The sequence below is a fragment of the Homo sapiens genome, chromosome 21, assembly GCF_000001405.40.
Source record: "Homo sapiens chromosome 21, GRCh38.p14 Primary Assembly".
NCBI classification, from domain to species: domain Eukaryota; kingdom Metazoa; phylum Chordata; class Mammalia; order Primates; family Hominidae; genus Homo; species Homo sapiens.
In genome coordinates this window covers 31193194-31207299 of record NC_000021.9, presented here as the reverse complement: position 1 = coordinate 31207299, position 14106 = coordinate 31193194, and the positions used below count along the sequence as shown (strand labels likewise).

The window sequence follows — 14106 nt, the reverse complement described above, 5'->3', positions numbered from 1 at the left end:
ACCAGTCAAGTTCTGGTATAGTAAATGTTTCAAGATCTTCATTTCATATACAATTCATGTCACAGATGTTACTGGAATGATTGTTGCTAAATATAGCAGGTAACCATGTTGCCCTGTAGGTTTTGGATATATTCTGATCGTTACAACTACAAAAATAATTGCAACATATTTTCATTCATTTATACCTACTGATATTATTCACATGTGACCATGTGTCAGTTTTATTTCATGCTTTTACTACGTCATTCTGTGGCTTTGGATATGCTATAACCATTGGCGTTTAGAGAAAGAAAAGGTTACTTTGAAGGGGAGGGAAAATATCTTTAGAAATTCTACAATAGCACTTTGTGTGTGTGTGTGTGTATACATATTTCTGTATGCAGTGACTACATGTTTGCATTTGTGTATGCAGTAATTGCATGTTTGTATGTCTTCTAGAAGTTTGACTGAAATGGAAGAATATGAAGAAAAATAGCAAAACATAATGGATTAGGAGCTCTAAGGCAGTAAATTCTGAGACATGTTATCTATTTTAATTGGTGCAAACTATTTACTGAAAATATCTACATTGTGTTTTGCTGTTTCATCCTTTGAAATAGTCATAGTAAGATGCGAATTTAAAAAATTATGCCAACTAAACTAAAAATTGTTGTACCATAATACTTAGGGTATAATTTGCGGCTGCATTGCCTCAAAATGCATCAAATGCTAAGTAACTTAAGTACATGTACATTGGAAAACAAATTTATACCATTTAAATTTTTTCCTAACTGAATTTTCCTTGAATGTTTTACGAGTCTCAATTTTCTTTTGAGTTTTCACTTGAATGTTTTATGTCTAAAGCAAGGCCACACATTTAGAATTACTATGTTTAAATATTCATTAACATTTGAAATTCCTTTGCACAAAGATGTATTCTGAACATGGTTAGTTGTTTGACTTGCTTTGATATTGACTAACAGGTATCTAAGGAGCATAAAATTCTTCTTGATCGTTCTGATGATCTGATTTAATTAATTCATTAGGATTTTATTTTTATGTTAGACCAGCCGTGATTAACAAGGGCTCATAATTCAGAAACTTTTACCAAAATAGTAAGACACACTGGTATATATTTTGATCCAATGTCCTGTTTTGAGAGTAACTATTTACTGACCAAAATTAGGGCTCTTAAGTTACAAGTAAGACCATTATAATTTTCATGTTTGCTGCTTGTGCTGATTTTTATTTTTTAAAGTTATCAAGACATTATTGTAACTTAAAGAAGTTTGAAAAATATGATGGTTTGTGGCAATAATCTTTTTTTCCTTTTACTTATTTATTAATTTTTTTTGAGACAGGGTCTCACTCTGTCCCCCGGCTGAAGTACAGTGGTGTAGTCATAGCTCACTGCAGCCTTGCCCTCCCAGGCTCAAGCAATCCTCCCGCCTCAACTTCCTGAGTAGCCTACAGGGACTACAGGCTCACCCCACCATGCGTGGCTAAGTTTTGTATTTTTGATACAGACAGGGTTTCACCATGTTACCCAGGCTGGTCAAACTCCTGGGCTTAAGCAACTAGCCCACCTTGGCCTCCCAAAGTGATGGGATTACAGGCATGAGCCACCATGCCCAGCCAAGAATCATTCTTATTACCATTGCTATATTTATCATTCTTTAGTTCTCTGCAATGCATTACACAATTCAAGTGAGGTGCCTTGACATTCTCTGCATGTTTGTATAAATGTTTTCAGTACTGTAGCATTTAGGGGATGCTGCAGTTCTCCGCAGTCCACACCAGGACCACCTTAGGCTATTTGTGCCTGACAGTGGGCTGTCTCTCACACTGAAGTTTCAGGAACCAGAACTTCTTGGGTGAGGTTGCTGTTTTGGCCTGATTTCTGGAAGACAGTCTGTTTCAGTGGCAGTCTCATTAAGGAGTGCCCACAAAGTGTTTATTAATGATGATGATAAGGTTTCCAAGTGAATTTGTTCCTGTTACTAAGAACCCATGAAATTTCATTTCTTTCCCTTCCGCCTCAGTCGGAAACAGATGGTGAACCAAAATTTTTGCTTCTAATTAAAGATTTCAGTGAGGACCCAGGTAGGTGGGAAACATTTGCAGCTTCGATCTCTCTTAGGAAAACTTTTCTTGCTCATCACATCACCCTAAATATTAGTATTTTGTTGTTGTTTATTTATCTTGATGATTCTCCAGCAGTAAGTAGCACACTTAAAAAGTTCCTGTTTTATGTTCCCTGGGCTTTCGCCTCCAGCCTTATTATCTTTGACATCAACAATCTTGGATCTGTCAGACATTGAGCATCTGGTCTCAAATATAGGCAGTGAAAGGACAAAAGCCAGGTGCACTGGGACATGTTCGGTGAATGGCATCTGTGTCTGGCACAGCAGGCTGCAAACTATCATATTACTCAGGAGAGGAGAAAGGTTGGGGTTCCCAAGAATCACTGATAGAAAACTTTATCCTTCTGCTATGTGTTCAGAGTGAACTCATTTCCACTTTCTGGAAATGTGCTTTTACAAGAATGCAGGTTGCCTGTCCTGCATGTACATATTTATTTAAAATGCTAAACCACTGCTGCCTCACCTTCCACATCTACATAGCTTTTACCTGCAGCTGCAGACACTCCTGAAGACTGCATTTATGTTGTATTAGTTTCTGTATTCTCACTACTGCACATGGTGTCTGGCGTATCTAAGAGTTCGTTAAGTGTAACTGAATATATATTACTGGAATGGTTATTGGAATGCTGTTAGTTTGGCTTTAAAAATATTATTTTGAGGGTGGGGTAAGTAGAAAGAGTACTGAACCAGTTAAAATTAACTTTATTTATTTTGAAATAATTCTCACCTGCAGAGCTTTGAATGTGAAGAGGTTTTATATTTATTTTGTGAAAAATGTCCAATTTGTATAAAAGTAGGGAACAATGTAATAAATTCTCATGTATCTATCACCTAGCATCTGTAATGATCAAATTAAGTTTTATCGATTTACTCACTCCCACCCCCAACTCTTATTTGTTTTGGAAGCAAATTCCAGACATTATATCATTTCTATCTATTAGCGCTTTAGGATGTACCCCTAAAAGATAAGGATGCTTAAAAAAATCACTTGGTTTAAACATTTTCTCTCTAGCAATATATTTTCATGTTGCTGTGTAACTTTTGGAGAGCATTTTCTTTTTTTCCCTGTATCCTCTTGACTGTCTACTGAGAATGATTTATAAAACCATGTTGGTATTATTACTTATTCCTCAAAATTAATTCAAAGATTACTTTTTAGACAGGAAGAAAAAATCTATTGTTCCATCCTGGACTAAAGGGTCCTTGAAAATTTCAATTTTAGAATTGTTTTCTTTGAGCGAGTCATTCAGTGTGTTTCCATAGTTGGACACACGCCTATTAGCACTGCCCCTGGAGGGAGTCTCACTTGGGGAGTATATAAATAAGATTGAAGTCCAAAAGCCTTGTCTTCACACTGACTCGCTTGCAAATGAACTGTTAACAACTGTCCCACTGTCCCTATGTGGTTAAAAAAACAACTTTGCCTGGGCACAGCTTTTTTCTCTCATTGTAAATACAGTATTTTCTTACCTTTCTTGTTACCCTTTTCTTTAATCACCTATCTATGAAGTTATATTTAAGAACCTTTTTGATCTGCTGTGTTGTGTTGAAAATTTTACCAGTGTTAGAGAGCACAATGAATCAAATAAGGAGGCGTGGAGATGTGAGTCAGTTGTTTCCATTGAATCCTAAGATACCCTTGGAATGTTACCAGTGTGTTCAATGAAAGTTATTTTAAAACTTTGCATTTACGATGTAAACTTTTTAAGAAGTATAGAAACTTTATACCCCCATTCAGCATCAAATTTCTATTGGGCCGGGAGCAGTGGCCCACGCCTGTAATCCCAGCACTTTGGGAGGCCAAGGCGGGTGAATCACCTGAGGTCAGGAGTTCGAGACCAGCCTGGCCAACATAGTGAAACCCCATCTCCACTAAAAACACAAAAATCAGCTGGGCGTGGTGGTGGGCGCCTGTAATCCCAGCTACTCAGGAAGCTGAGGCAGGAGAATCACTTGAACCCAGGAGGCGAAGGTTGCAGTGAGCCGAGATTGCGCCATTGCACTCCAGGCTGGGCAACAAGAGTGAAACTCCATCTCAAAACAACAACAACAACAACAACAAACTCTATTGGTCATAGGAATACATCGTATGTTGGTGGAGAACTAATTGTGCCTATTTACTATTGAACAGACATTTTCTTTCTTTCTTTCTTTTTTGTCCCAGACACATCAACTGGATCATTCTGCTCATTACCTGCGCCTGAAATTTCTAATAGAAAACAAAATGCAGCTCTATGTTCCACAGCCCGAGGAAGACATCTATGAGCTGGTAATGTTATGACTGTTGTCCAAGCACACTTTATGGGAGATTATCTTCAAATTATGAGTGTTCTCGTGTTAATTGTAGTTGGTGGAGTGGAACGAGTTCAAAAATAAATGAGCTTCATTCATAGCCCTTAAGTTGGTGGAGATGGCCCTACTTAGCTCAGTATTCCAGAGTGGAATGATCACCTTTGTTTACGCACGAAGCAGTGCAGTGCTATCATGACAAATCAAAATCTAGAGCTATCTCTTAGATAGAACTTTAGTCATTATTATAATACTAGCTTTCCTTGCATTGGCAATCTTTTATTTTATTGTATTTTAGTATTTTTATTTTGTTGTTTAGAGACAGGATCTCACTCTGTCACCGAGGCTGGATGGAGTACAGTGGTGTGATCATAGCTCACCTCAACCTTGAACTACTGGGCTTAAGTGGTCCTCCTGTGCCAGCCTCCTGAGTAACTGGAACCACAGGCACGCAGCTCCATGGCTGACGAACTTTTATTTTTTAATTTTTTTTTTTTTTGTAGAGACAGGATCCTGCTTTGTTGCCCAGGCTGGTCTTGAACTCCTGGGCTCAAGTGATCCTCCCACCTCAGTCTCCCAAAGTGCTGGAATTACAGGCGTGAGCCACTGCGCACGGCCAGTCTTTTATTTTAATTGGTGACTTAAAAATCAGCTGGTTGTTGTTACAGAAAACAGTGCTAATTCTAATTTTGTGTGACATCCGTAGCCATGTTGAAACTGCTGGATCAAATCTTGTTGGGTGAAAAAAGCTGCCATCTATGTCCTAGTCTTTTGGAACTGTATTTATATAGCTTCTCGGGGACATTTACATATATTTGAGTTTGAACATACTTATGGGACTGGGGTTCTGAATCAGACCTGCTTACTAATCATATGGAACTAGCCAAGAAAAAAAAATGAAATGCTAATACTTAATTTCTAGGATTTTACAAAGATTAGAGATAATATGCTTACTTGGTAAATTACAATGGTTGTTATTGCAGTAAGCCCAGTGACAAGCTCTTTGCTCTTTAGCAAAGTGGTGCGTTTGTCAGTTCCAGGAAAGAAACATTTTGGGAGCAAGGCGCCTCTATTTTGGAGTTCCTGTGCTCTCTCTGTTCTTAGTCATTCCTCTGGGGGCTCTGACTGCTTGCCATGGATGTGTGAATAACAGTGACTTCAGAGAGGGTTTCACCACAGAAAGCGGAACTGAACATTTAAACCCAAGTATTATTCTCTTTTTGGAAAAGGGAAGCATGATTTAAAAATGAGTAGGAAATTGTGTTTTTAGTCAACTTTATTGAGGTATACTTTACATTTAAGGAAACTCTTGCCAACTTTAAGGACACAATCCAATGAGTTTTGACAAATGTATACAGTCTTGTTTCCACTGCTGTGATCATGCTTTGGAACATTTCTGTTATCTGAAAAGTTACCTTGTGCCCCTTTAAGGGCTTTTAAGGAAATGTAAGAGAGCGTGTGCTTTTGTAACACTTATAGCACGTTATGCAATAGAAGATTATCAAAATAATGAGCCCTTTTCCAACTATCACTTAAATCAGTAACTGTTCTGTGTTCAGTACATTTAACAGAGAGGGCTGATGTATTCTTTTTCTGGCCTGGGGAAAAGGCCAGTCTTGGTGCTGCTGTATGAGTAAAGGAAAGAAAACCCTTTTTTCTTACTTAAAAAAGGGAAGTGCTTTCCTGCTAACACTAGAAGAGTTATTAGATTATATATTTTGCATCTTGGGGTTAATGAGTATTTTGCATCCTGAATTATAGGGATCATGCCTAACCAGGTTCCATGTTCCTCATATTTTTCACATAAGAGGTATAGGTACTTCAGACATAGTTTTTGAAATTGTATGGACTCATTATTTTTAAGCCTTGCCCATTGTGTGGTCTCTTTAGTCTGTTTGGATCTACAATTTTTGTATGCAGATAGCTATATATGTATTTTAAAAGAATCTTAAGTACAGGGAGACCATGGTATTATTTCTTGGCCTGTTGCAGAAGGTCTCCAGCCCATAGATCTGTAAGGATGCAAATGCCACAGTCTTGCAAAACCTCTGTTTCAACCAAGGTTCTTAATTATTTTGTCCTTTGGATACTTTTGGTAGCCTGGTGGAGCCTCCAGACCCCTTCTCAGAATGATATTTTCAATCGCGTAAAATAGAATACATAGGCTTACCTGTGCCCTAAATATATTGAAATAGTTCTCAAAAATATTTTTTGAATTATTGGTAATATATGTTCTTATTTATTAGCTTATTAAATTATAAGGCTTAATAGGTAGACATAGACCTAATAGCTAGACCATTAAATTACAAGACCTAGCAGTAGATCTAATAGCTACCACTGTTCTGAGGTAACGATGAGCATAAATAATATTTTGAGACACTAGCAGCAGCTAAAACATGATATGAAAATAACTGTGATTTCCATTCGTGACGGAGTCACAGGCACTGCTACTATTACTATGTTTGTTGCCTACATTCATTTAGGATAAAAGGAAATGCTGATTTTCAGTTTAAGGTTTGTAAATATAAAGATATCACTTTTTTTTTTTTCTGTGATGAAGTTTTGTTCTGTTGCCCAGTCTGGAGTGCAGTGGCGCGATCTTGGCTCACTGCAACCTCTGCCTCCTTGGTTCAAGCAATTCTCCTGCCTCAGCCTCCCAAGTAGCTGGGAATAGAGTTGCCCACCACCACACCCAGCTATCATCTAGCAAATATTTATTTAGCATTTGTATGCCTGGCACTACTCTAGCTGTTCTAGGCACTGGGGATACACCAAAACAATTCTGCTTCTGGTGGAACCTGTATTCAAGTTTGCAGAAACAAGTAAAAATACATGTGAATGTGTAATATGTCAGGGAATGTTCAAAGCCTGGAGAGACAAGAAGTTGGGGCAAGTAGAGAGAGGGAGATGGCACATCTGCAGTGGGTCTTGTTGCTATTTTATTTTATTTATTTTTTGTGTGTTTTTTTTTTTTTTTAATGTGATGTTCGAACAGGGTGAGTGAGTGAAGAGAGGGAGTGGAATCATAGAGGTATTTTGCAGACAAGTGTTCTAGGCTGGCCAGGCATGGTGGCTCACGCCTGTAATCCCAGCACTTTGGGAGGCTGAGCAGGTGGATCCCCTGAGGTCAGGAGTTCGAGACCAGCTTGGCCAACATGCTGAAACTCCATCTCTACTAAAAATACAAAAATTAACCAGGCATGGTGGCACACGCCTATGGTTCCAGCTATTCAGGAAGCTGAGGCAGGAGAATTGCTTGAACCCGGGAGGCGGAGGTTACAGGGAGCCAATATCGTGCCACTGCACTCCAGCCTGGGTGGCAAAGCCAGATTCTGTCTCAAAAAAAAAAAAAAAATGTTCTAGGCTGAGAGAACAAAGCTGGCTAAGGCCTGGGCAGGGGGAGGGTGGCCATGGTGGAGGTGGCTTACCTGGTGTTTGAGGAGGATTGGCGGAGAGGGCACGAAAGAGGGGATGCAGGAGATGGTGGGGGGGAGGGAAAAAGGATAGGCCATGTAGAGCCTAAGTGCCATAGGAAACCCCAGAGAGAAAGGGCATTGTCGGCTTTGAAAGGCTCACTATGGCAGATGAGTGGGCCCATAGGGCATGAGAAGATGAGCAGCCAGGGCCCATAGAAGGCTGTAGAGAGTCATCGTCAGGCAAGAGCGTGACGGTGGCTCAGACCAAGCCACCCAAAGGAGACAGAGAAAGAAATGATCCTGATTTTGTGAGAACTCAAGAGCCCTAGGTAAGCAATTTTTTTCTTAAAATCTGGTGATCTTCTCATCCAGTTTTTGAAAACAGGGAAAGTTGCAACATTATTGATTTAATAAAAGAAAGGGAAGATGTGAGCTATTTCATCATTAAGTGCATTTATGTATAAAACTACTGAATTTCCAGATTTCTAGTTCCAGATATCGTGGTTGCATTGAAAATATATTTTAAAGTACAAACGCTTCTTGAGATATAGTTTTAGTTTTGTTCACTAAACCTGGCTTTAGTCCAACCAGCCTAAGGATGTTGTGGCCAGCGGGCCTGTCTTATGATACTGAGTTGTTGTCTGAGACCAGCAAAAGACACAGTGATATTCACACTAATTTCAAAGAAAACTAGGAAGTAGTATTATGAAAATATAGGAAAGATTATGCACAAAGCTCTAGTCCCACTAGATCCTGTGGAAATGATTAAAACAAACAGTTATATACTGCCACCTGGAGGAAGGGTTTGGCTCTTAAAGTTTTAAAAAATAAAAGTAAGGCTCCTGATAAGTTGAAGTGAACGTAGTTGATAACATTTCCTTGAGCATTTTGTGGTGTTAGGTTATACATTGTAAACCTTATTGAATTTAGTATTTAGAGTTTTGGTGGCTATTTTCTGAATGAAAAAGTAGTATAACTGATTTCTTCTCATTTGTAAATGTATCAGTATGAAACATTTCTAAAGTATAACACTGAAACCACATTCAGTCATGCCCTTGACACGTTGCATTTGGTGGAAATTGCATTAAATTGAGGTGTTTAAAAGGATCCAAGCTGTCCTGTCCACGTTCCTATCCCCCACACTCCTTGGCATTCTATTATAGCAAACGCTTTCTCAGGCTCCTGAGTCACAAGTATTATGCTGACCTTTCAAATGCCCCAAGCAAATAAAGAGAAGAAACTGGCCACTCTTTTCTACCTGCCTGAATAAAATCGTTTCTGGACGAATGGCTGTGTGGTCAGGGATACGGGCAAGTTTAGATAATCATCAAGACTTCTCTTTAGTGCTAACGGCCACGTTTTTTGTTATTGACCTTGGCTCAAAATTGGTTTTCATTTTAAGATAGAGTAATAATTTTAAAAATCTATATGAGCATTTGACACATCTATTTGTTTGTGAGTTTTTATTATAAATTTTGGATTTGAACCTTTGACTGACCTAAGAGGGTAGGTTCCCTTTGCGTTCATACCCTGTGTTCCAGTGAAGGCTGATCTGGGAGGCATCGTAGTGTAGTGGAAAGAATGCGGCTCTAGAGCCAGTGAGACCTGGGTTCATAATCCCAGCTGTGTATGAACTGGTCTTCTGAATTTAGGAAAGTACTTTCTCTTTAGGCTCTTGCCTTTATTTGTAAAATGGACATCACGCTTGTCTCATGGAGTTAGCGTGAGAGGCGTGACACATGGTCAGAACTCTGTAAGTTATTGTCTTGATGATAGATCTTGACATAAGAAAACGAAATATCCGGCTGGGCGCGGTGGCTCACGCCTGTAATCCCAGCACTTTGGGAGGCTGAGGCGGGCGGATCACGAGGTCAGGAGATCGAGACTATGGTGAAACCCTGTCTCTACTAAAAATACAAAAAAAAAAAAAAAGCCGGGCGCGGTGGCGGGCGCCTGTAGTCCCAGCTACTCGGTAGGCTGAGGCAGGACAATGGCGTGAACCTGGGAGGCGGAACTTGCAGTGAGCCGAGATCACACCGCTGCACTCCAGCCTGGGCGACAGAGCGAGACTCCGTCTCAAAAAAAAAAAAAAGAAAAAAGAAAATGAAATATTGATTAATTTAAACAACATTTATGATGTGTGAACTCTGCATCATTCTTATCTTGACTTTGTACAAAGCTCTTTTTCCAGCCTTTTTTGTTTAAAAAATTTTTTAAATAATTTTAACTCTTATTTTAGATTCAAGGGGCACATGTGCAGGTTTGTTACCTGAGTATATCGCATGATGCTGAGGTTTAGGGTACTGTTGATCCTGTCACCTAGGTAGTAAGCCTAGTGCCCAGCAGTTAGTCTCACAACCCTTGTCCTCCTCCTGCCTTCCCCCTCTGGTAGTCCCCAGTATCTATTGTTGCCATTTTTATGTCCATGAGTACTCATTGTTTAGCCCCTAGTTGTAAGTGAGAAGGTATTTGGTTTTCTGTTCCTGTGTTAATTCACGTAGGATAATGGCTTCCAGCTGCATCCATGTTGCTGTAAAGAACATGATTTTGTTCTTTTTCATGGCTACATAGTATTCTGTGGTATACATGTACCACATTTTCTTTATCCAATCCACCCTGGATGGGCATATAGATTGATTCCACATCTTTGCTATTGTGAATAGTGCTGCAATGAACATACAGTGCACGTGTCTTTTTGGTAGAATGATTTATTTTCTTTTGGATGTATACCAAGTAATGGGATTGCTGCGTCAAGCGGTAGTTCTAAGTTCTTTGAGAAGTCTCCAAACTGCTTTCCACAGTGGCTGAACTAATTTACATTCCCAACAACAGTGTATAAGTGTTTCCTTCTCAGCCGGGCATGGTGGCTCATGCCTGTAATTCCTGCACTTTGGGAGGCTGAGGTGGGCGGATCATTTGAGGTCAGAGTTTGAGACCAGCCTGTCCAACATGGCAAAACCCCATCTCCACTAAAAATACAAAAAAAAAAAAAATTAGCCAGATGTGGTAGCAAACGCCTGTAATCCCAGCTACTCAGGAGGCTGAGGCAGGAGAATTGCTTGAACCTGGGAGATGGAGGCTGCAGTGAGCCGAGATCGCGCCACTGCACTCCAGCCTGGGCAACAGAGCAACACTCCGTGTGAAAAAAAAAAAAAAGAAAAAAGAAAAGAAAAGCATTCCCTTCTCTCTGCAGCCTCACCAACATTTGTTGTTTTTTGACTTTTTAGTAATAGCCATTCTGATTGGTGTGAGATGGTATCTCATTGTGGTTTTGGTTTACATTTCTCTGATAATTAGCGATGTGTACATTTTTTCATATATTTATTGGCCACATATATGTCTTATCTTGAGAAGTGCCCGTTCATGTCTTTTGCCCATTTTTTGATGAGATTATTCACTTTTTGCTGATTTAAGTTCCTTATAGTTTCTGGATATTACAGCTTTGTCAGATGCACAGTTTGGAAATATTTTCTCCCATACTGTAGATTGTCTGTTTATTGACAGTTTCTTTTTCTGTGCAGAAGCTCTTTAGTTTAATTAGGTCCCACTTTTCCATTTTCATTTTTGTTGCAGTTGCTTTTGAGGACTTAGTCATAAGTTATTTCCTTTCTTGGGCTTTTAGAAGGCTGATTAATTTGTGTACTTCAGTTTTCTAGCTAATTTCGATACAGTTCAGTGGCTAAAAAAAAGAATATCCTCCTTTACGTAATTTGTTTTCTGTTTCAATGCTATCATTTGTCTCTACTTATTTGTACTATGATGAACTTTTTGAATGGAAGCATAGAGATTTATCTTATTTCCATGAATTCCATACCAAGATCTTTATAACCTCTTCTTGATTTTAATAAACTTTTTCTCCCCACAACTAGAGATCTCCATTACTTTAGCATTATTTTTCAGGTCTGTGATAGACATTGGGTAGGAATAGACAGACAGAGTGATGTGGAGGAATTACTTAGAAACCAAACTGTGGCTATGTTTGAGGACGACAGCTGGAAGTTTTTACTTTTACTTTTTACTTTTAATGAGTTTCGTTTAATGATAAGATTGTGAAGTGCAAATTCACGTAAGTATCAATTGTGAAAAAATAGATTTATGAAATGATGACCATTTTTAAAAGTTAGTTATAATGAAATTCTAATTAGATTCCCCTTTGTAACTTTCAGCTGTACAAAGAAATTGAAATCTGTCCAAAAGTCACTCAGAGCATCCACATTGAGAAGTCAGATACAGCTGCTGATACTTACGGTAAGTTTATTTTTCTTTGTTTGTGTTTTAAGGTAAAGTATTTCTTATGTAAGCATGCATTTATTTACAGTTCAACAAAATGCCTTTGAGTCCTATCTAAAACAGATAGTATATCTGGCTCCTGCTCTGTGGAGGGCAGCCACACTAGGGAATAACAGGGATATTTACTCTGGGTACGATGTAGACTTTGGTGTTAAATTTCATAACTTTAATTACTGGGATTCTACTGTCCTAAAAAGGAAGTGGGTAGCTTATTTTATATGTCAAAAGATAAAATTACAACAAGTTTAGTTATAAATCTGACTGGCTTTTATTTGTGATTCATGCATGGGATAGCCTCCATTCTACAAAATAGAATGAGAGCTCCCTCTGGGCAGTGGCAGAACAGTGATGTTTGTAAGTTGGCGACAAGGAAACAGAACAGTGGAAGAAGAAAACTGATTGTTTAACTTAGCTTACTTCAGGTTACTTTTTTGTAAGGGTTAAAGCAGAGGGGACCTACTTATTTTGTTGACTCAGGTAGACCGGAATCTCATGTTTTCAGGAAAAACTGGTCTGTTTGGGGATCTACTTGCTTCCTGAAAGTTTTAGTTTGATTATGTGGCATCCAGCATGAGTGATTCCATTTTTATTTGATCTGGCCTTTCGGGCATAATGCAGGAACTCAGTTCACAACAATGACCTCCCATAATTTTTGTTTAACATATACTATGATGTACCTTAGTAATGTAGGAATTATTCTTTTACACCCCCTCCCGAAAACTATAAATTTTGAGAAATCTCAAAATAAGTAAGCCATTATCCTACATTATCCTCCCTTCCCATACAAATAATGTTAAAGGAACTATTTTGGTGGTGTGTAGGGGGGTCCCCAAGACCATCCCTAGGTTTGCTGATTCACTAGGAAGACCCACAGAGCTCAGCCTCTGGTCATACTCACAACTATGATTTTTTTAATAGCAAATTATACTGAAGCGGCTTCGTTGTCTTGGGTAAATACCCACGGTTCGTTGTCTCATGCCAAGGGAATCGAGGATGCGGACACACAAGAAGTGGGTTTAGGAGTAGAGGTTTAACAGGCAAAAAAAAAGAGAAAGGAGAATAGCTCTCTCTCCTGCAGAGAGAGAGGGGTGCCCGAGTGGGTCTTCCGGCCAGCGGCGGAATGCACTGGATTTGTATAGCCAGGCTTGAGGAGGCGGTGTCTGATTTACATAAGGCCCACAGATTGTTTGGACCAGGTGTGAGGTCTACACAGCACGCATGGAAGCTGGCTGCCCTATCCTAATCTTTATTATGCAAATGGAGTCTTTGCCTGGCGGGGGCCATGTTCACTGCTTCTTACTGTACGCATGGCTGACAAAGAGAAGAGAGGATGGAGCCGCCATTTTGAACATGCTTAGTCCCAGCTAGCTTTTCCCGATTCACACTGCCGGCACTCACCGGTGTAAGCTTCCAGCTTGCTTGTCTGTGTGTGCAGCTTGATTTTACAGGCTGCTTTTTGTTACAAAAAAAAATTATTTGGGGGTTGCTTTTCATTAAAAGGAAAATGTTACTGAGGATTTTCTTCTCCTCGCTCTCTGCCTAAATCATTTCATCTTAACTCCTGTATCAACACAAAGCAAAATCAGCAAAGGGAAAAGGCGCATGGAGTGAAGTCTAGGGGAAACCAGGTGTGAGCTTCAGCGGGCCCTGTTTCAGTGGAGTCACGTAGAATGAGGATAACTCCTGCAGCACCAAGTTGTGAGGACACCTGAGAAATGCTCTCTCCTAGGGAAGGTGGTTAGAGAGTCAGTGCCCAGGGCTTTTCTGGGGAGGCTGGTTCCCTAGGCACCCTCTGCCTAGCATGCACCAAAATTCCAGACTCCCAGGAGGAAAGTAGGCGTTCACCATAAATCCCATTGTTTGTACCACAGTTTAGGCACTGTGAGCCACTCAGGGTGTTGGGAACCCTCCCAAAATCCAAGTTCTCAGGATACCAGCCAAGGTTCAAATTTGTAAGCGGGCCTTTCGAAGAATAGCAGTCATGCCTG

General features: G+C 39.6%; 1 protein-coding gene across 12 annotated transcripts in view; it reads left to right on the top strand.

Annotated features, from left to right (window-relative positions):
• Window positions 1–14106, top strand: part of TIAM1 (TIAM Rac1 associated GEF 1) — a 440670-nt gene that overhangs the window by 351788 nt on the left and 74776 nt on the right. For all 12 annotated transcript variants that reach the window (NM_001353690.1, NM_003253.3, NM_001353688.1 and 9 more), the window contains 2 exons: window positions 4288–4392; window positions 11995–12076. In NM_001353690.1, coding sequence (NP_001340619.1) covers window positions 4288–4392; window positions 11995–12076 — 187 coding nt within the window. The remainder of the gene's footprint in view (window positions 1–4287; window positions 4393–11994; window positions 12077–14106) is intronic.